The 23,736-nt window shown below is 35.5% G+C and overlaps 1 protein-coding gene across 7 annotated transcripts in view; it reads right to left on the reverse strand.

Moving 5' to 3' along the window:
• The window catches only part of MARCHF1 (membrane associated ring-CH-type finger 1), an 859,722-nt gene that overhangs the window by 46,154 nt on the left and 789,832 nt on the right, over window positions 1-23,736 (reverse strand). For all 7 annotated transcript variants that reach the window (XM_017008336.2, XM_017008335.2, NM_001166373.2 and 4 more), the window contains one exon: window positions 15,298-15,478. In XM_017008336.2, the coding sequence (XP_016863825.1) occupies window positions 15,298-15,478 (181 nt within the window). The remainder of the gene's footprint in view (window positions 1-15,297; window positions 15,479-23,736) is intronic.

Consider the following 23,736-nt stretch of genomic DNA (forward strand, 5'->3'; position numbering starts at 1 on the left):
TCTTGAAATAAAACTCTTAGGTTACTGGACTCACCCAAAGCCACCAAACAACTACATGGTGGGGAGGGTGAATCCAGTTCTTCCACACACTAAATCTAGATTCTTTCCACTGTATTTTACCGTATCCCATTAGGAAAATATTTGCAGAGTTATACGAACATTTCTACCTCACAGAGATTATACATTCTTGGCCTGGGGACGGAATCTAGCCTTCAGACCTCTTTTGTTTTGCCTGAAGAGTTTTTGAATTTGAATTAGTTACTATTATTTTAAAAATGGTAAGAGATTAAATCTGCGATTTTCACTTCATTTGCAAAATAGTTTTGGCAACAATCAGCTAGAACTTAGTAGGGACATCCCCCTTGAGAGTAGGCACATCTATTTCAGAATGCCACAGACCTCACCACTCCTTACCATATCCCTCAGTACTGTTATCTGCTATTTTTCATCATAAAACAAGATCTCTTCATTCATTTTTATTACCTATCTGGTTCCTGATATAAAGTAAATTGTCTGTGGACTAAGCAGATCTCTACAGATACCGTTAGTAATTTTCCTCATCCAATTTGGACAGGGTAATCTTTATGCATCTTTCTAGCCCTGGTTCCCTACAGTCAACAACCTTTTTATCTTAATTTTCTTCATTAAATTGTTCCCCTAATGGAACAGAGAGACAGCTTTGAAATTGAAGATTTCTTCAGCTAAAAATTCCCACAAATTTCCCTTGAGTCATACTTTAATAGTTGGAATTGGACCTGTCTGGAATTACTAGAATTATTCCCCATACCACTTTCAAGTCTGTTTCAAATTATTTTGACTAACTCATTTTCCAACTCCCTCCCTCCATCTCTGTCCTGCCAGAATGTAAATTCTCTGAGGTCAGAAGATTCTGGTCTTGTCCACTACTAAAATCTTAGGCCAGGTACAATGACTGGCCACACGGCAGGTGCTCAGTAAATATTTGTTTACTGAATGAAGGTAAAAATGATGAATCGTAAGTGGATGTTACTGGAGCCCTCTCAGTGTGGTCTTTCAGACCTAGCTGCCTGTTGTGTGGTCTTCTGTATGAACAGAGTCCTCTCTTCTCAGCAATCTTTTGGGAAATAATTCATTTCCTAGACACAGAAAAGGATCTAGCTCCAAAATTTGTTAACTTTGTTTATTGATAAAAATACTCCTTCAAAATATCAGTTTTTGTATTGAACTAACATTTACAGAAAACCTAGCCTTTAAGAAAACAGAGTTATATTTCTTAGGTTAACTAAACTGATTTGCTCAGACTTCAAATCTACACTGGGGTTTTTTGTTTGTTTGTTTGTTTTTTCACTGTGCCAAGTTGAAAATGGTTTTCAGCCCATCCAGCCTCTTTTCTTAGGGTCAAAAGTCTTTCATGTATGCCTCAGGGCTGCAGAAGAGCTTTGCTGTCACTTGCTTTTGCTTTATTTTAGCCTTTACTCACTTGCCAACAACTTATAAGGAAAAAAGTAAGTGTAGCGAAGGTACTTATATCTGGCTTCCAGTCACTTTTCAGGATGCTTCCTAAATGCTAACTGCCCTCAAACATTTTCGTTTTCTCTCTTCTATTTTCTTCCCTGTTCTAACTTGACTATTTTCATCCTACTTTTTAAATTTAAAAAAATATATAGAGAGTCCTTCTTGCTTTTCTCACCATGGTTTGCTTTGAAGGGTAATGAGAAAGATTCAGACACAGGCTGTTTCTTTATCGCTTAGGTCTTGGACTCCCCTTCTTATTCAGCATCCTATCCTTCATCACTTAAGCTACTGTAGATATGAAGGATTTTCTTTATATCTTTTAAAAATTCTTCTGAACGTTTAAAATGCATTTGAATGTTAGGTCTCTTTCTTCCTTTTTTTTTTTTTTTAAATAAATTGATTCTTCACTTGCTTTTCACAAAATCACAGGATTTTAAGTTGGAAGAAACTTTAAAGATATGCTACCAGTCTCCTTGTTTTACAGATGAAGAAACTGAGACAAGACTCAAAGTGGTTAAGTGCAGAACCAGAATTAAAACCCAACCTTCTGGCCTCCTAGTCAGAAGTACTCTTTCCTTTAGTGTTGAAATTATTTCTTCTTTTTATTAAGCTATGCTCCTTATATTTTAGTTAAAAAATGATTTTAAAATACTTATCATTCCCTAAGTGTAGGGGTCTTTGTGCCACGGGAAGGGAGTACAAAGTCCTCGGGAGGGAATTCCTTATAGTAGAAGCACTGTTGTGTTATAGGTAAACCTGTTTTTACTTTGTTTCATGTTTCCATGTGGAGGGACCTCTGTCAGAATAACAAAGCTAGCCCATTACTCACTTCTTCACCATCAAGAATGAGGAAAAAATACTGGGTATGCATTGCTCAGCATCTGTCTACCTCCTGCCCTACATTTCCCACATATTTTAGAATCTCTCATGCTATGTATTTCACAGTTCTCATCTATCTGTGGCTGTCTAGTTTGAAATAAATACTCATGTGAAAGATAATAACATTGGAATAATTAGGCTATGAGTGGTGTGTTCATGTGGGAAACAACAGAAGAGAAGCTACCTGATGGTGCCATTCAGAGAAAAATAGGAGGTCAGAAGGAGGCTGACTTGGGAGAGATTAAATCTCTCAGCTATCTGTCTTATTATAATGTTGATAATCTCACACTTGCATGTTAGAAATGTTACTTATTTTGCTACACTGATTTTGTATCCTGACACTTTACTGAAGTTGTTTATCAGTTTCAGGAGGCCTTTTGAGAGTCATTAGAGTTTTGTAGGACTAGAATTATTTTGTCAGCAAAGAGAGATAGTTTGACTTCTTCCTTTCCTATTTGGATGCTTTTTCTCTTATTATTATTATTATTATTATTATTATTATTATACTTTAAGTTTTAGGGTACATGTGCACAATGTGCAGGTTAGTTACACGTGTATACATGTGACATGCTGGTGCGCTGCACCCACTAACTCGTCATCTAGCATTAGGTATATCTCCCAGTGCTATCCCTCCCCCCTCCCCCCACCCCACAACAGTCCCCAGAGTGTGATGTTCCCCTTCCTGTGTCCATGTGATCTCATTGTTCAGTTCCCACCTATGAGTGAGAATACGCGGTGTTTGGTTTTTTGTTCTTGTGATAGTTTACTGAGAATGATGATTTCCAACTTCATCCATGTCCCTACAAAGGACATGAACTCATCATTTTTTATGGCTGCATAGTATTCTATGGTGTATATGTGCCACATTTTCTTAATCCAGTCTATCATTGTTGGACATTTGGGTTGGTCCCAAGTCTTTGCTATTGTGAATAGTGCCACAATAAACATACGTGTGCATGTGTCTTTATAGCAGCATGATTTATAGTCCTTTGGGTATATACTCAGTAATGGGATGGCTGGGTCAAATGGTATTTCTAGTTCTAGATCCCTGAGGAATCGCCACACTGACTTCCACAATGGTTGAACTAGTTTACAGTCCCACCAACAGTGTAAAAGTGTTCCTATTTCTCCACATCCTCTCCAGCACCTGTTGTTTCCTGACTTTTTAATGATTGCCATTCTAACTGGTGTGAGATGATATCTCATTGTGGTTTTGATTTGCATTTCTCTGATGGCCAATGATGGTGAGCATTTTTTCATGTGTTTTTTGGCTGCATAAATGTCTTCTTTTGAGAAGTGTCTGTTCATGTCCTTCGCCCACTTTTTGATGGGGTTGTTTGTTTTTTCCTTGTAAATTTGTTTGAGTTCATTGTAGATTCTGGATATTAGCCCTTTGTCAGATGATTAGGTTGCGAAAATTTTCTCCCATTTTTGTGGGTTGCCTGTTCACTCTGATGGTAGTTTCTTTTGCTGTGCAGAAGCTCTTTAGTTTCATTAGATCCCATTTGTCAATTTTGGCTTTTGTTGCCATTGCTTTTGGTGTTTTAGACATGAAGTCCTTGCCCGTGCCTATGTCCTGAATGGTATTGCCTAGGTTTTCTTCTAGGGTTTTTATGGTTTTAGGTCTAACGTTTAAGTCTTTAATCCATCTTGAATTGATTTTTGTATAAGGTGTAAGGAAGGGATCCAGTTTCAGCTTTCTACATATGGCTAGCCAGTTTTCCCAGCACCATTGATTAAATAGGGAATCCTTTCCCCATTGCTTGTTTTTCTCAGGTTTGTCAAAGATCAGATAGTTGTAGATATGCGGTGTTATTTCTGAGGGCTCTGTTCTGTTCCATTGATCTATATCTCTGTTTTGGTACCAGTACCATGCTGTTTTGGTTAATGTAGCCTTGTAGTATAGTTAGAAGTCAGGTAGTGTGATGCCTCCAGCTTCGTTCTTTTGGCTTAGGATTGACTTGGCGATGCGGGCTCTTTTTTGGTTCCATATGAACTTTAAAGTAGTTTTTTCCAATTCTGTGAAGAAAGTCATTGGTAGCTTGATGGGGATGGCATTGAATCTATAAATTACCTTGGGCAGTATGGCCATTTTCACAATATTGATTCTTCCTACCCATGAGCATGGAATGTTCTTCCATTTGTTTGTATCCTCTTTTATTTCATTGAGCAGTGGTTTGTAGTTCTCCTTGACGTGATCTTGCCTGATTGCTATGGCTATCACTTCCAGTACTATGTTGAATAGGAGCGGTGAGAGTAAGCATCCTTTTCTTGCTCCAGTTCTCAAGCAGACTGCATCCAGCTTTTGTCCATTAAGTATGATGTTGACTGTGGGTTTGTAGGGCTCTTTAGATGTAGATGGCTCTTATTATTTTGAGATATGTCCCTTTTAAGACTAGTTTGTTGAGGGTTTTTATCATGAAGGAATGCTGGACTTCATTGAAAAGCTTCCTTCATTGAAAGCTTTTTCTGCATCTATTGAGATGACCATATGGTTTTTGTTTTTAACTTTGTCTATGTGGTGAATCAAATTTACTGATTTGTGTATGTTGAACCAATCTTGCATCCCAGGAATGAAGTCTACTTGATCATAGTGAATTAGGTTTTTGATATCTGTTGCATTTAGTTTGCTAATTTTTTTGAGGATTTTTTGCATCTATGTTCATCAGGGTTGCTGGGCTGTAGTTTTCTTTTTTGTTGTGTCTTGGCCAGGGTTGTTATCAGAGTGATGCTGGCTTCATAGAATGAGTTGGAGAGGAGTCCCTCCTCGATTTTTGGGGATATTTTCAGTAGAATTGGGACCAGCTCTTCTTTGTATAGCTGGTATAATTTAGCTGTAAATCCATCTGGTTTGGGGCTTTTTAAATTTTTTTTTTTTATTACTGATTCAATTTCAGAACTTGATATTGATCTGTTCAGGGTTTCCATTTCTTTCTGATTCAATCTTTGGAGATTGCATGTTTCCAGAAATTTATCTTTTACCTCTAGATTTTCTAGTTTGTGTGCACAGAGGTGTCCATAATAGTCTTTGGACATCTTTTATATTTCTGGGAGATCGGTTGTAATGTCACCTTTGTTGTTTCTGATTGTGCTTATTTGGATCTGTCTTTTCCCTTGTTAATCTAGTTAGTGGCCTATTGACCTTGTTTTTCTTTTCAAAGAGCGAACTTTTTGTTGCATTGATTTTTTGTATGCTTTTTTTGGTTCTTAATTTCATTTAGGTCTGCTCTAATTTTAGTTTTTTTTCTTCTTCTAGCTTTAAGGTTAGTTTGTTCTTGTTTTTCTAGTTTCTGTAGGTGTGATGTTAGATTGTTAATTTGAGATCTTCCTAATTTTTTGATGTAGGTGTTTAGCACTATAAACTTTCCTTTTAACACTGCCTTTGCTGCATCCCAGAGATCAAGATATTTTGTGTCTCTGTTTTCATTTATTTCAAAGAACTTTTGATTTCTGCCTTAATGTAATTGTTTACTCAAAAGTCATTTAGGATTAAGTTGTTTAATTTCCATGTAATTGTTTGGTTTTGAGAAATCTTCTTGATATAGATTTCTATTTTTATTTCACCATGGTTCAATAGTACGGTTGGTATGATTTAGATTTTTTTGAGTTTATTGAGACTTCTGCTTTATGGCTCAGCATGTAGTTGATCTTAGAGTATGTTCTGTGTGTATATGAGAAGAAATGTGTATTCTGTGGTTGATGAATAGAGTGCTCTGTAGATGTCTATTTGGTCCAATTGGTCAAGTGTCAAATGTAAGTCCAGAATTTGTTAATTTTCTGCCTCAATTATCTGTCTAATGTTGTCAGTGGGGTGTTGCCCACTGACATAGGCACACACTATTATTGTGTGGCTAAGTCTTTTCTTAGATCTACAAGTACTTTTTTTATGAATCTGGGTGCTTCAATGTTGGGAACGTATATATTTAGGATGGTTAAATCTTGTTGTTGAAATGAACTCTTTATTATTATGTAATATCCTTCTTTGTCCATTTTTACTGTTTTTTTTTAACTATTGGTTTAAAGTCTGTTTTATCTGATATAAAAATAGTGACCCATCATCTTTTCTGTTTTCCATTTGCATGGTAGATAATTTTCCAGCCATTTATTTTGAGCCTATGTATGTCGTTACATGTGAGATGGGTCTCTTGAAGAAAGCAGACAAATGAGTGTGTTTTCTTTTTTCCTTTTTTTTAAATACAACTTGCCTTTTAAGTGGGGCATTTAGACCATTTACATTCAAGGTTAATGTTGATTTGTGAGGTTTTGATCCTATCATGAGATGGTTAGCTGGTTGCTTTGTAGTTTCTATTGTGTGGTTGCTTTATAGGGTCTGTTTTGTAGGGCTGCTTTGTAGGACTACGTACTTAGGTGTGGCTTTGTGGTATCAGGTATTGTTCTTTTGTTTCTATGTTTAGAACTCCCTTAAGGATCACTTATAAGACTGGTCTAGTGGTAACAAATTCCCTTAGTGCTTGCTTGTTTGGAAAATATTTTATTTGTCCTTTGCTTGTGAAGTTTAGTTTGGTGGGTTATAAACTTCTTGATTGAAATTTCTTTTGTTTAAGAATGCTGAAAATGGGCCTCTGATATCCCCTGGCATGTAGGATTCCTTCTGAGAAGTCCACTGTTAGCCTAATGGAGTTATCTTTTGTATGTAATCTGACCTTTTTCTCTAGCTGCCTTTAAGATTTTAAATTTCATGTTGACTTTGGACAGTCTGGTCACTACATGCCTCAGTGATATTCATTTTGATAGTATCTTGCAGGTGTTCTCTGAATTTCTTGTATCTGGATGTCTACCCCTCTAGCAAGATTAGGGGAATTTTCTTGAATTATTTCCTAAATTATGTTTTCTAGGTTGTTTACATCCCTCCTTCTCTCTCAGGAATGCCACTAATTTGTAGGTTTGGTTGCTTTACATAATTTTATATTTCATGAACACTTTGTTCACTTTTACACATTATTTTTCCTTATTTTTGTCTAACTGGGTGAGTTCAAAAGACCAGTATTCAAGCTCTGAAATTCTTTCTTCTGCTTGGTTATTAATATAGCTTTCAATTGCATTTTGAACTTCCTTAAATTAAGAAAAACATCCCCACAGCTGAGAGAGAAATATATTTAACTTAATAAAAATTTAAATATGAAATTAATTTAAAACTCAATCATAAGATGATGCTTTGGGGAAATCTTTAGTTGTAAGTGTGTGTGTGTGTGTATGCTTCTGACTTCTGCACACTCTAACTTGATGTTTTTTTATGCTTTCCATATAGATCATTGGAATATTGACTCCATCATTTTAAACATAGTTTATGTTTCAAAAACCAGAATAAAAGAAGCTCCATTTTGTGTATTCTTAGTTCTTGTGTATTCTTAGTTCTTGTTAAAATAAAAAATGGATTTTCTCAGGAGTGGATCTGTATCCTTTTACAGTTAAGCATTTCCTATTATATCTGTAATAGCAACACAAGGTGACATTCTTACTAAGCAAGTGAGGTTATGTTTTCCCAGCAATCATTTTCAAAGAAAGAAACAGAATTAACAGAATTAAAGTAGTGTATCAATCCACTAATAAGGAAGTACTAAAAAAAGTTCTATTTAATCTATCCAGCCAACAATTATTATTCAGCAGTTGTTTATTTAAAGCTACTTTGTGACAGCCTGTATCAAATCCTGCTCCGTATTCCCAATTCTCTCCCCAGTAGTGTCCTGGATATTTAACTGCTAAGTAACATTTTTTGATTAGCCTTGGTTTTGTGAAGCATGGAGAACAAAAGAGAGAAACATTAATTTTTCTATGTGTTTATAAAGTTTTTGGCTTTATTTTTGTTTTGTATATCTTTAGATATGAATTGTCTTACAAAGACCAAGCACATGATGGTGTCCAGCTCTCTCTTTGAATTGCCTGTACCATTTCCTCTGCAGTTACAGAAAATTCTTTCATCTTGTTCCATCCTTCTGCAGTAGACTATATGCTCCCCAAGGGTAGGGTTTTATTCTATCTTGTTCACTACTGCACATGACTGGTATATGGTATATAATACAGTAAGTTGAGAGAATTTAATAAACTGGGCATGATTGGAGGTCTCTCAGAACAATCATTCAGAACATAGTTTGCTGGTGATGTGAACTGAACTCTGACTAGAGGGAGAACTATGTTTACGGATGGATGCTTCCCAAAAGAATAAGCTCTTTTGCTGCCTAGAGAAGAATATTTCTATCTGAACAACCTACTCTATAATACCAATCTCAGGTGAATTTCTTTGACATTTCAAAAGACTAATTGACCTACTAGTATTTTATTTAAAGGCAAAAGATAAAATCCATGTGATAAATCCCAAGTTCTATTAGAATAAATCAGGAGACACTTATACTTTTCATCTCATAATTATTTGATACATGTTGGCATTGTAATCTATTCACACTGCAATATTATTTTAGTTGAAATATCAATTGTACTTCTAAGAGCAAGAATTGCACTTCTAAGAGTTTAGGAAATAAAACAAATAAAAACAAAACAAAGACAAAAAATTAGTAAAAAAGATTAATGCTGCAATCAAGTTGAAATATTTTTCTTTTAATAATTTTTTGTTATTTTGTAGTCTACTTATTTTGTCTTTTCCCATAGCAAACACCTAAGTAGCATACTAGACTCCTCCTTCTTAATGAATGAAGCAGTGAGAAAGTAAAGGGAAGGGCATTTGACTGCAGACAGTACCACCACTGGACAATGAGAAATTTGTTGTGAAAAACTTATCTGGCTCATTTGAAGAATTTAAGTTTGAAAACAAAATCATTTCCCTAGAGTGTTCTCAGTCACTTAGACTTCCCTTAGGCTTCACATAATAATAGAACGGAATGAATATGCATTGTGAATTGTGAGTATGAATTTTTTTTTGCAAGCATTATAGGAAAGCTGTGTTTGAGCTATACTACGGGAGAAATTTTCATTGCTTTCAGTCTTATACATTTGTGAATAAATGGAATAGCAAATCTACCTCACAGAATTGGGTTCCTATGATAGGGAAATAGCCTGAAGACATCAAAACTTCATTGCTGAGGGCTTTCTTATCATGTAATCCCAAGTACTTTAAGTAAAATTGAGAATTAATTAAAAAGAATGCCAAAGAGAACTCAAAGAACCATAGAATGATTTCAGAATGTCCATGTGCACTAAAACTCTTGCCAATGATCAAAAGAACAGAAGTTCATCCAGAATTGTCTTTTGTAGAGCCTTATTTATTATTTATTTATTTATTTATTTATTTATTTATTTGAGACGGAGTCTTGCTCTGTCACCCAGGCTGCAGTGCAATGGCATGATCTTGGCTCACTGCAACCTCCACCTCCCAGGTTCAACCAATTTTCCTGCCTCAGCCTCCCAAGTAGCTGGGATTACAGCCACTCACCACCACACCCAGGTAATTTTTTGTATTTTTAGTAAAGATGGGGTTTCACCATGGTGGCCAGGCTGGTCTCGGTCTCCTGACCTCGTGATCCGCCCGCCTCGGCCTCCCAAAGTGCTGGGATTACAGGTGTGAGCCACCGCACCTGGCCCTGTAGACACATTTTTATAAGCCCTAACTCTTTTGGTGTTGATGTTGTTTAAAGCAGAAAAGGAGTAGCTACATTAAATGTTGAATAAGGACTATTGGAGAAACAGAAATGACAGCTGATGCTCTGAGAACAGAGAACAAAGAGAAACAACAAACCCAGATAGAAAGGCTTTTAAAACATAGCAGGATGTAGAAAGCAGAATGGAGATAAACAGCCTTATATGTATTTCAAGATATAGAAGTTGTTAATGTTTTCAGCCTGAAAAATAATTGGTGTGCATATAATGATATACTTGAGGTATTAGGAAAATATATTGGGTAAAATATTATTGTTTAAGAAAGAAGACTTCAGAAAAATTTTTGTTTTAGAATGACTTGTTTTAAAAGATTTCCATCAGGAATGATTTAAGTAAGTATTAAAGTTTTTTTTTTTTTTTGAGACGGAGTCTCGCTCTGTCGCCCAGGTCGGACTGCGGACTGCAGTGGCGCAATCTCGGCTCACTGCAAGCTCCGCTTCCCGGGTTCACGCCATTCTCCTGCCTCAGCCTCCCGAGTAGCTGGGACTACAGGCGCCCGCCACCGCGCCCGGCTAATTTTTTGTATTTTTAGTAGAGACGGGGTTTCACCTTGTTAGCCAGGATGGTCTCGATCTCCTGACCTCATGATCCACCCGCCTCGGCCTCCCAAAGTGCTGGGATTACAGGCGTGAGCCACCGCGCCCGGCCAGTATTAAAGTTTTGATGTTTAAAGAGAGAATGTCTCAGCTATTTGGCGGTAGAGTGGCACAGTGCAATGAGCACATGCTTTAGAATCAGGGAGCTTTGAGTTGTGTGATATTGAATGATTTTGATATGATATTTTATTTTTCTCCTCTGCAAAAGGGTCTTGATATGCCTACATAAAATAGGATTGTAATGAAAATTGAATTAGTTAAATGATATATGCTAAATATTTGGCCCATAGAAGGAATTCAGTATGTGGTGGTCATATCAGTGAAATAGCAAATTCCCCTTAATGGTAAGAAAATTATGCATTTTGAATTTATTTTTGTCATTAGGCAACATCATTCAAAGGGTGCAGGAAGATTCTAGCTAGGAATCTGGCCTTATCCCTTTTTCTCTTCAATTTTAAGGCTATTAATGATAAGACATCCGGATCATCAAATAATCAATAACAAGTTTGGGGCAGTTAACCTGCTATGGTAACTTGTACCAGCACTTGGCTCTTTTGAAAGATGAATGCTACATCAAATTAAGGCAAGGAAGGAATTAACAGTGTTTGTTAAAGACAGTTCTTCATTTCTAAAAATAGGCATGTCAACTACAGCACTGTAAATAATTATAGTGGAAAAGTAGAAATACCAAGATGACTACTCTTTTTCATTTGACAGTTAATTCACACAGAACTTATATTCTATGAACTTTCCAATTTTCACTATTTTTGATCTACAAAAATGGTGCATATGGCTCAACATAAGCATTACTAAAGCAAAGATAATTTATTCATTATCTTATTTTATTTGTACAAATGAGGCAAGGGACAAAAAGATGCATGGAGTTACATATCCTGTATTGTACATTTGTCAAATAGTTTCTATATAGAGTATTACAGAAAAAATATATTAGGGGAGATAGATAGTTGTCAGTAGTATTTGCTATCCTCATAAACTTGGTTTCATATTTAACAGTTGGTTTCGCCCAGTCAGGAGTAACTCAGATCTGAACTCCATGCAATTCTTCAGCTTCAGAATAGGAAATTAGTTTATGCTTCCTAGTTGATCTTGAGTGCACTTCCAATTGCACTGAGTAGTCACTATGCTTTCTTTATGTGTGACATTTTGACTTTTCTGGGCCCTCAGAATTATTTCTGACCTTGGTTAACTTAGCAGATTAATGAGACTTTTATTAAGTATTCCAAAGGTAGCTGGGCTACTGACTTAAAGATGATGAAAATTGCTTTTCCTTGGATAAGCGCTTGATTTTATATTCACTTTAAAGATTGTCTTCTGGAAACATTAAGATACCTTGATGAATTTACTAACTAGATTTTGGTGGAGTAAGAGTTGCAATTAATGAGGTAACATTTTGCTGATATCTTTAGAAACTAACCATTAAGCCCCAAGGTTTGTCTATGAAGATTTGCACCTTTCTATGCAGAATTATACCTTACTACTTTAAGAAATCATTTCATCTAAACAGAATCTCCTGCCTGCATTGGCTAATTGGAGAAATTCAACATCATTAGCTAAATTAATTGTTTCATGTGGGTTGTTCTTTAGAATGTTATAAACTGTAATGGAATTACCAAGTTGAAGGCAATTAATTGGATGTACTTCAAATATATTCTAACCAAATGCTATAGCTAGCATTCTCTATAACTGTTTAAAAACTACAAAAAAAAAACTATTGATGAATCTTAGTGCCATCAAAATAGCCCAACTAGAACAGTTTTAAAATGCCTCATATCTGTATAGTTTGTGTCACCTCAGAATGTGATGACTCAGGTTGATGACTGAGAAGGTCATCATTATGATTACTGCCTCTTAAGTATTATTCCAGTGCCTCATATTTTTAAAGGAGAAAGTGAGACGTTGGAATACTTTCTCTAGGTTTTTAAAGCCTATGCATCATGGAGGGAGGAACTGAATGCACGTTCCTCATGTCTAGGACTCATGTGTTAGAAAAGAAGTTGAAGATTCAGATCCCTACACAAGTGCCACAGAGGTACACAGATGAGTGGAGATGGCACAAGGACTCAGGATCAGAAAGAGAGGGAAGGCTGAGATCTGTGACGAATTTGAAAGCAAGTCCCTTTTTAAAGTGGCTAGATACCACTTGGCTCCACTGGTTGTTGTCATATGGGAATGTGGTTCCAGTAAAGCCAGATACTGTGATTTTTCAAACAAATTCACATGGATGGAGTTGCACATGAAATAATTACATGTTGAAATGTTGGTAACTAAAATTATAATTTTAAGCCCCATGGCTCAAATAAAACACATCTGTGGGTGCTGGGGAAGCAACCTCTGGATCAGATTCCAACACCCCTATACATATATAAGTGCTATTAAAAATAAAGAATGTAGAAATGCTGTCCTTCATCAATGCTTAATATATTGATATATTAATAATCAATAAAAGTATTCAATTTATTCAAATTAATCAAAGAAGATATTTTTAGAAGAAACTAGGATATTCATCAACAGATAGTAGGTACATAGGTGCCCACTAGGTTGCTGTGACACATTCATTATCATGAATTTTTGTTTTTTGTGTGTTTTTTTTTTTTTTGGAGACAAAGTATGGCTCTGTCACTCAGGCTTGACTGCAGTGGTGCAATCAAAGCTCACTGGAACCTTGAAATCCTAGGCTCAAGGGATCCTCCTTCCTCAGCCTCTTGAGTAGCTGGAACTACAGGTTTGTGCTACCATGCCAGGTTAATTTTTTTTTTTTAACTTTTTTGTAGAGACAAGATTTCACTTTGTTGCCCAGGTTGGTCTCAAACTCCTGGGCTCAAGGGATACGCCTGCCTCAGCCTCCCAAAGTGCTGAGATTCCAGGTGTAAGCCACCGTGCCTGGTCCATTATCATGAATATTTAAAAAGATAGACATATTTGCTGCCTTTCTCTGGTTTATAAGTGTGTTTGTTGAGGAAAAAAATAAGATTTCCTAAGAGAGTTGTAAATTATTGAGAATGGAATATTAACAAAGGATGAAAGTTGTATTGACAGGGTATACTAGATACTACAAAAGCTGGCGGTGGAATAAAAAGACTTTTCAAGTTTCTTCTCAGCAGCATGTTTTTTAATTAAACAAAAATGAGTAGTGGTGATAGATATGGTAAAGAAGAGAAAATTAGAATATGTTATTATCCTAGATCGTGGCCCTCAAATTAAAATACTGTATTTGACAAAGTTGAAATGAAAATTTTATGTAAATTTAGCATGAGAAAAAAAATGAAGAAATATATAGATTCTATGAAATAATTTGTAGTTCCCTGAGAACTAAGAAAAAACATTTGGAAAATCGTGGAGTACAATGTGCCATTTAACTACTGCAGACAATGCTCAGCATCTGTCCAGCGGATGAAGCAAAGGACAAGGAATCAGGGTCCATTTCTATTTCTGGCATTGACACCTCTGGGCCCTAGAAAAACAGGGTTACCCTGCAGCACTCAGGTTACCCCATTGTTAAAAAAAGACCACACATATCCTAAAGGAATTTTATGCATTATTTTTGATAGCTATAAACCATTTGCAGATTTTAAAAATTGAGGCTACCACAAAAGCAAGGAATGTGATTCTCTCCCTCCACAATTTACAGAATTAATGAAGAATTGCAATGGTCAGCCAGCAATCAGATATGTGCTAGAATATTCTTATTTGCATTTCAACTCTGCTCATTCTGGAACTCGTTGTGTTTCTTTCCAGGCAATGTCCTATAACTTTTGCTTTGCATTCAATTTAAATAAAAAAAGCAACTCTGGGATGATTCATTATTTAAACTGTGGTCTTCATACTCTCCCTTGGAAACTGAGGCAGCCATATATGTAAGGCTACAGTTAGGCAAAAAGATAAATAAGTTACATGCTAAAATCCAGAAGTCCAGCTATCAAACATGAATTGTATAAGTTCATTGTCCTTGTTTGTATTGTTTACAAGCTGTTCTTCGGTGGCTTTGAGTGAGACACTAACTTTGTATCTGACTCACAGTCTTACCTTTCTTCTTCAGAAAAATATAACATAAATGAGGAATTTGAAGACAAACATTACAGATACAAAATACACTTACCTCTCTCTTACAGCCTGATGCACAATATGGAAAATAGTACTTTTTATTTCTACCTACTCTAATTACACATGTGCCATTAAACCAATTCCCAAATAAAAGCAAACATAAATAGTACACACTTTATAGAAGAAATCATTCTCTTCTATTACCTAATAAATAACTTGTAAGAAATTTGATGAGTTGATGTTGTTTAAGGCAATGTATCATGTAACCTTCTTGAGAACTGGCTTCCGTAAGCACAATGCTATCATAGTTCTCATCAATTCAATTACATTGAATTACAAGTGCATTTTGCATGCATATACATATATATGTTTATATCTATTACGTGCACACACTGACTTTTAAAAAAGCATTGAAAGTAATATATCAATCAGAAGCTCTAGAATATAAAACATAGAAGAAAGGAAGGATTATCTGCAAACACTTAGATAAATTTTGTGCACTGAGCTCAACACAAGACACATACCCTTAATGGATATTAGCATATTAGGAGAATCGTATTGGCAAAGGAAATAGATTTCTAAAACAAGTCTGCTTTGCAAATGGTCCCTCCCAAACCAATTCCTATGGATACTGTACCTTCCGGAGGGGTTTGAGCTTGGTCTCCATTATGAAGTCATACTTGCAGAGCTCACAGCAGCGTGTATCTGAGCTCTTTATCCACTGGTGGAGGCAGGACTGGTGGACAAAGCGCAGTGTCCCAGTGCAGCGACAGGGTGTGATGAGGGGGCTCTCTTCATCCCCTTCGCAGTGACAGATTCTGCAGAAAGACACAGCAGCCAGTATGAGATCTCCCAGAGAACATTTCTCGCCTGTGTTATTTCTGCCCTTGCTTATACTAGGGCTATTATAAACCGCAACCTAAGATTTAGAACACATGGACATTTTACTCCAACTTTGATGCTAGAACCAAATCTATGATCAATACGGATTGAGCATTCCTAACCTGAAAATCCTAAATCTGAAATGCTCCAAAATCCAAAACTTTTTGAGCACCAACATAATGCTGTGAGTAGAAAATTCCATTTAGTCAAAACATAGGTGCACAACCCAAAGTTTATTCACTACCTTGAAGGGAAAAGTAAAATTACCTTCAGGCTATGTGTACAAAGCGTATATGAAACATAAATGAATTCTGTGTTTAGACTGGGTTGAATCTCCAGGATATCTCGTTATGTATGTGCAAATATTGCCAAATCAAAAAAAAAGTCCCCAATCCAACACACTTCTAGTCCTACCCAAAATATCTCATTATGTATGTGCAAATATTCCAAAATCCTCCCAAAATTGAAATTGGAAACACTTCTAGCACCAGCCATTTTGGAAAAGGAATACTCAACCTATATTAATTGACTTTTACTTTTATGGTCATTGCTGGACTCAAATCATGTAATAAGTTGTGCCTTACACACCAGCACATCAACAATGCACTGTCATTTAATTCATACATGGAAGTCAATTTTAATAGCACCACTATCGTGCTATGTCCCCAATTTAATCTATTTAACAGGATACTATCTATGGGCTTTCATATATAAAAGTTATGAGTTTTAAGTATTCTAAGGAATATTATCATTTGGTAAACTTTATTGTGTTACTTTGATAATATCAGACCATGGCATGTAATTTATTAAATATGGTATCTTACCAATGTGGAAAAATTCTCAAAAATTTTAAAGTATAATGAAGGAATAAAGTTAATACAAGAAGTCTTAGCTTGAAAATATTACAGATATGTTCTTAGGAAGAAGCACACCTATTTGGTTACAACAAATGGTCTAAACTGTCAATAATCATCATTGTCTAAAAAAAATCACAAAAATCACTGGTTACATAAAATTTGAGTACAGAAAATCCTATTGTTTAAAAATGCTAATAAATACATCTACCAATGAATTGAGTTGAATTTGTTTCTGAACTACTATGAATTCTAGTTTCACAGATTTATGGTCTGAAATCATTTTATCTCATATTCAGATTTTAAAAAGCAATTTATTTTTCTCTTTGGATGAGACAAGTCTCCCATAACTTTAGCTGGTGAATTCAAATCTCAGCCCTTTAATAATCTGAATGATGTAACCAGCAGTTAGACATGGCTAATAAATTTCATTAGAAATGTTGCTTTAAATCTGTTAAATATATACACTCATATGTTTACTGCAGCACTATTCACCATGGCAAAGACATAGAACCAATCCAGATGCCCATCAGTGGTGGACTGCATAAAGAAAATGTGGCACATTTACGCCATGGAATACTATGCAGCCATAAAAAGAATGAAATCATGTCTCTTGCAGCAACATGGATACAGCTGGAGGCCCTTATCCTAAGTGAATTAACACAGAAGCAGAAAAACAAATACTGCATATTCTCACTTATAAGTAGGAGCTAAATATTATGTACAGAGGGACACAAAGATGGAAATAAACACTGGAGATTGTTGAAGCGGGGGAGGGTGGTGGGAAGTAAAGTTTGAAAAACTACCTATGAAGTCCTTTGTTCACTACTTAGGTGATGGGAACTTTAGAAGCCCAAACCTCAGCAGCATGCAATACACCCATGTAACAAACCTTCACAGGAAGCTCCTGAATCTAAAACAAAATTTTACAAAATGCAACATAAATGTGCAATGTAACATTTAAACTTTTTAAAAAAATCTACATAATTGCTTTTTTTGAGCTGAGTCACAATGGCAGGCTGGAAGAATGTATGAATCACTGCTACTGTTCTTTCCTTTAAAGTGTATAAAGTATATATAGATACAGATATATCTGCTCTCTCCCCAGGGGAAATGAAATGGCTGCTCACTCAGATAGTGCAGAAAGATACAGGAACTGAAACCCAACATTGCCAGAGACCTCAAAGTAAAACAGTATGGCAGACTACACCAGGATTTTGAACGAATTTCTTAAGTAAAAATAAAGTGAGCAAAAAGGAACACTGCCATCTAAAGTCCCGGGGTGGAAGTGCTGGGATGAGAACACAGGGAAGGTCCGTATTAATGTCCCCTTCCCCCTGAACTGACTTAGGAAGCAGCCACATTGGGTATAGCACCACATATGAAAGGCCAATATGTTAAGGGAAAATTAAAAATTATCTGAGTGCCTATTTTTAATATAAAAACCTGAAATAGCTTCTCTCCAAACCTAGGCCTCAGAAACTGGACTTGTTACACTTTGTGTCATGCTTGTTGCCAGTTTAGTGTCATAGCATAGATGCTCAGTAGATGTAAATTGAATAGAATTGAATTCAGTCAACAAAATATGACTTATTACAAAAGCAGCCAGGAAAAGTAAATAGAGGCTTCTCTAACACCTAATTAAGTTGTAATATTTATTTTTGGAGCCACTAAAATCTAATAAATTATAGACAATAAGAGTTTGATATTTCTTAACTCCTTGGACATCCATCTCCTGCCTCCACAAAAAGAAAATCTCTTCAACCGGGGGTCAGTAAACTAACACCCAATTCTGTTCACTGAATATTTTTAATCAATAAAGTCTTATGGGAACACAGTCTCACCCACTGGTTTATCTATTGTTTAGAGCTGTGTTTGCAGAGTAACAGCAGAGTTGAGTAGTTGCTGCAGAGACCATCTGGCTGCAGAAACTAAAACATTTACTATCTGGTAAATGATTCAATTCAATATTTACAATCTGACCCTTTCAGAAAATGGTCATAGATCTCTGTCTTAAAGCACACACGTGATTCTGAGTTAAAGACAATGTATGAATATTATTGACAATAATAAAAACAAATTTTACAAAATAAATCACTCTAACCTCTGCAATTAACAATAAAACTGAAGTAAAAGTACACAGAGAAACACACAATAAAAACGAAAACCCCACTTGGCCTGGCATTAATTCCTGTTGCTTCCATGAACAAAATGTCTTATTTGAAAAAAAAAAAAAAAACTGCAGGTAATGCTATCAGATAAATTCATCACTAAAAAAAGATTGTGTCAAATGCTCTACAGGCACCAAAAAGATTTTGCAGCTCTGATTTTTTCATTGACATTGAAAAAGTAATTTATTCATAAACTGCTTTAAACAGAGACCTTGCTGGTTACTGAGTTCAAAGTGACCTGACCAGTTTACTATCGTCCAGCTTCTTATGTCTCATAAAGTCCTTTTTAAAAATTTCTGCTAAAACTACTACCTGAAGCACCACTAACAACATCATTTTCTCATAAAATTAAGGTTATTTCCCATAGGGAAAATCAAAAACTTGGTTCATTTTTCATTCCCATTTCACATGATTTATTTTTATATATTTTTAGCATTTTGAAATTTTTCCAAATTATCTGGCTCAAGTTGGACCTCAAGAGTCTTTTCAAATCATGTTGAGATTGTTCTAAATAAATTTAAAAGCTAAATATCAACTTCAAATATCTACTAGAAATAAAAAATAATGTGATCGTGCCATTAAAGAAAGAATTAAATAATTCCTAAATTGATATACTTCACACAAATCACAATCGCTGAATTATAAATGGAAACAGCAATGAAAACATAAATATGCCTTTCCAGCCGAATAATTGTGTAGAGAAATTGATTTCAATAATGTAATAAAATTGCATGGCAAAATATTCGTAATTTTGGTACATTTTTACCTGATGGGAAGTTGGGGCTTGGGAACTGAATGATTCTATAAAATTATTGGTGATCCACATTGGTATCTGTCACCTAGTGACAGCTACATACAAGCTGAATTCACAGATTTTACTGGCATTTTAGTATTTTACCAGTCTGCTTGCAATCCAGTCAGCATATGTTGAGACTTTTACCATTTATGACTGAATAAACTCTTACTTTTACATTATTTCTAGCTATCTGTGAATAGCAGACCACATAACGCTATGCAGCAAATTAAATTTTAGATTTTGGTGTGTGTGTGTGTGTGTGTGTGTGCTTCACATCTCTTGCTTTAATGTTTGAGTTTTAAGAAAAGTAGGGGTCTTTTTTGGGTCTTACATATCTTAAAATGGTCTTTAGTGCTCCCTGCCCCCATCCTTTGCCAAGGTTTCCTGGCACTGGTAGAATCATATTTTTTTCTTCATAAGTTTTTTTTTAAACTCATCACTAAAAAAAAAAAAAAAATCTTTGTGAGGGCCATAGTGTTATGCAACGCTGGAAATTATTAAACTCTTTCACTCAATAGTCATTTCATTCCTGCACAGTTTCTTGGTTTTTGCTATATGCAAAGAAAATCAGACATCTCAGTGTCTTTCATATCTTCTTCCTTTTCATCCCCACAGCAATTTCTCTAGTGGTTTTGAATTGTCAACAGATACACAAAGTATCTTTAAGACTGTGTTCCTTCCATCAGGAAATCATTCTTAAGATATGCAGTTATTTAGATCCTCTTAATATACTGCCACTCTTCAAGAACTCTATCACCAATCATATAAACCCAAATTGCTTCACCTTCTTTTCATATGAGCTTGTACAATTTGAGTTTACCTTACCTATTCAGGCATATTTTCCACGAATCTCTGACATACAACCACAGTGGCATCGTACAGAGTTTAACAGCTAATAAGCTGTGGGTTTTGCCACAAATAAGTTATTGCTGTGCCAAGATCTTGATTCCTGTTAGCTTAGAGGGCAGTTTTGAGGTCTTGGGTGTGTTGTCCATTCACCCTGGTTGACTCACAAATGTTATCATGTTCTGCGTGTTGTAAAAAATGTTGGGAAACACTGGTGTGGCTATTGAAAATACAATCAGCATTATATTTGTAGTTCCGCCCATCTATACGTGTTAAATTACTTAATCTCTGTGTTTCAAGTTCATCATCAGTAAAATGGGAGAATAGTGGTGATAGACTATTAGGAAGAATTAAAGTAAGTGATCAATTAAGTGACAATAATTATTAATAATCAATTATTTCATATGATTATTAATTAATTATTGTCACTTAATTGATCACTTAATTTAATCCTTATTAACAGTCTATGACCACTATTGTCCCATTTTACTGCATAACAGTCTACTAAAAGTAGTATTTATTAAAATTAATGGTCAGATGATTATTTCCTGAGTGTATTGCATTCTCTATATTAAAGTCTGTCTTTGAGAATTTCCTCAAGTATGTTCTTCATACCTTTGACACCTTCCCTCTTTTAATAATGCCTCATCTAAATTAAGACTCATCTAAATTTCAGACTCACATCCCTAATTAAACAGCCCCTAGTTTTTCCTTCCCTACAATGCTCTCTCCTATTTTTTGAGCTGTCATTGCTCTTAAAGCCTATACCACACAGATACAGTCTCTGCTGTTTGTTAACTGTTTCATTTACACAAGTTCTGGAATTATGAGCTGAATAAATTCATGTTTAATAATTTTATGGGGGCAGGATCTTTTTGTGGATTTGTATTGATATTCAGAGTAATTTAAGTTATGAGAATGTTAAGAAGTCAGGCTAAAGATGGCAAAGCACTAGACCATAATGGACTGGCTTTCATTAAGCTTCTATTTAAACATTTACAGAGCACAGACCAAAAAAAGCCAGCTTAGTCAGATCATATGGCAATTCTCAGAAGTTGTTACCAATGACCAGTGTTTTGTTTATGTTTCGGGAAAATTCACTTACAGTGAAAGTGAGAAATTGTGATCCTTTTATATACCATGAACTCTTTAATTTGCATTTGAGGAACTGAATTGAGGTGTAACAATTTTATACCCTATCTGAGCAGCAGAGGAAGTCAAGCAAACTGATCTGCAGTGGAAAGGAGAAGTAACATACTTCATAAATAGAGAACAAGATGGACAGTAGTTAATATCATTCAGACTAACAGCTGTTTGCAGCTACTCTTATTGACATGGAGACAGCAAGCAATTTTGGACTGTAAACAAAAAGGCATTATAAGCCAGATTTCTAAGGTTTCCTTAACAGAAACGAAGATAAATATCCTAAGCCATCATTCAGCCTGAGATTTAAAATACCTTGAAAACTCAAGTTCAAAATACAATCATGACATAAGAATAAAAATATTTTACCAACAGATAATACCATTTTTGTAATCATAAGTTTTGTCATTCTGAATATGTACTCTTTTTTACATGTGCAGACGAGTGACAGTTCTTCATACATATGTGATTTTTTAAAAGTGTTTTGTTTTCTCAAAGGAATATTTTCAACTCAAAAAAGCTGCTACATAGCATGACTTCCTGAGTTTAATTTCATGCCCTAATTTGTCACCACTGACTTGGTCAAAACCTCAGACCATCTGCACAGAGCTGTAGGGAATGATCAACAACAAAGACAATGACATGGCAATGTCCCTGGCTTTCCTAACTCTATTCCTGGAGCTGATCCAAGAGTCGCAAGTAATCAGCCACATTTTTTTTTTTTTCACCACCAGACATCACACTGATGGAAAACAGTGGAGAAGAAGATAATGATCACCTTGCTTGGTCAATAATGAAAGCAGAGGAGGCCAAGTCTTATTTGAATTCACAGACATTGAATTCTGCAATGGATTGGGAAGATTCTATTGGAATTGCTTCTCTTGGGTGTCTCATCCCCTCTGGAGATGGTTCGATGCCATTGATACTAGGACTTTAAATTCTGCTTGGGACTGAGGATTCCCACTGAGATTCTATTATCATCTAGCCTAGTGGTTCAGTCTCATAGTGGGCCGGAGCCTCTTTGAAGACTATCTGAGAGGTCTCCATGGGCTCTTGAAACACATTAAGATTCCCCCATTCCCTCTATTGATGTGTGTAGCCCCTAGGAGTCCCAGTCAGTATATCTAGCAATCTTAAGATCAGCTCAGACTGTCCAAATCCTCCAAATCAGGAGAAATCAAAAGCTGGATTGCATCTTTTAGGATAATCCCTTCCCTGTTAACCATCGCTTTACTGCCCTCTCTATACTCATTGGTTAGCTCAGAGGACCATGTATTTCTGCATAAAGGAAATGAGTTCCCCAGTGCCATTTATCTTTCCAGATCCTACCTTACAATTTTGATGACTTGTGGATAAGTAAATAGATAATATATATTGAACGAATATCCGAAGGTTATGATTTTCTCTACATTTGCATATGTCATAAATATTCATTTTATATCAGCTTTGAGGTCTTTTTGGGTGCATTTGTAAGACTGACAAAATTAAACTAGAGATATTTCTAAGCAAATGTGCTTACAGTTATTAGGCTAAATTTTTGTTAGCTGCATACATTGAAGTAAAAAGGCAAAACAAAGGGACAGATAATAAAAACTCATTTGGCTTTAATATGTAGCTATAATCAAAGAAATATATATGGTCAGATACAGGAGAAGGCTTTTGTATATACATAATAACAGCTATCAGAAAAATTATGCAGTTATAACCTTTTAGCCTTTTTCATTTCTGCATGTGGCAGAAATTCTTAATTCAAACTGATTTTCTGATCTTTTTTTTGTGATGGCTAGGTGTTTGAATTTTTCTAAGCTCATCCTCAACCATGACTTCCTTCCAATTTTGTCCACTCATTAATCTTATCTGGCTGAGCATTACATCAAAGAAAGTCTCAAGTTGCCATGGATAATTGACAAAGCAGGCACTTTATTTACAGATAACCAAAAATGCATTGAATTAGAAATACGCCTTTGCATATGAATTCTTCTACAAAGGCAAGTAAGTACAAAATACTGATGTTTTACAGCAGTTCCAACCACATTGAGTGAAGAATGATCAACTTTTATTCATTTATTCACTCATTCATTCATTCATTCAGTCAACAAGTAATTTGTTGCTTATGTATATATGCAAGGTTTTATAAGGTCCTATGGTAAATATAAAGATGAATTAGTCTCAGTCTTTTTCCTTTAAGAAGTTTATATTGACAGTTTATGCATCAGACAACTGCAAAATTAGACAGGATACATTTAAAATGGGATGTGTGCCATGTCAAGTGCTGTTGTATGCAAAGGAGTGAAAGATCATCTCAGATTGGGGACCGGGGGAGGGTAGAAAGTTTAATGGAAGATGTGGCATGGGAATTGGAATTGAAGCTGGGGTAGAATTAT

Source organism: Homo sapiens, chromosome 4, assembly GCF_000001405.40.
Source record: "Homo sapiens chromosome 4, GRCh38.p14 Primary Assembly".
Taxonomy (NCBI): Eukaryota; Metazoa; Chordata; class Mammalia; order Primates; family Hominidae; genus Homo; species Homo sapiens.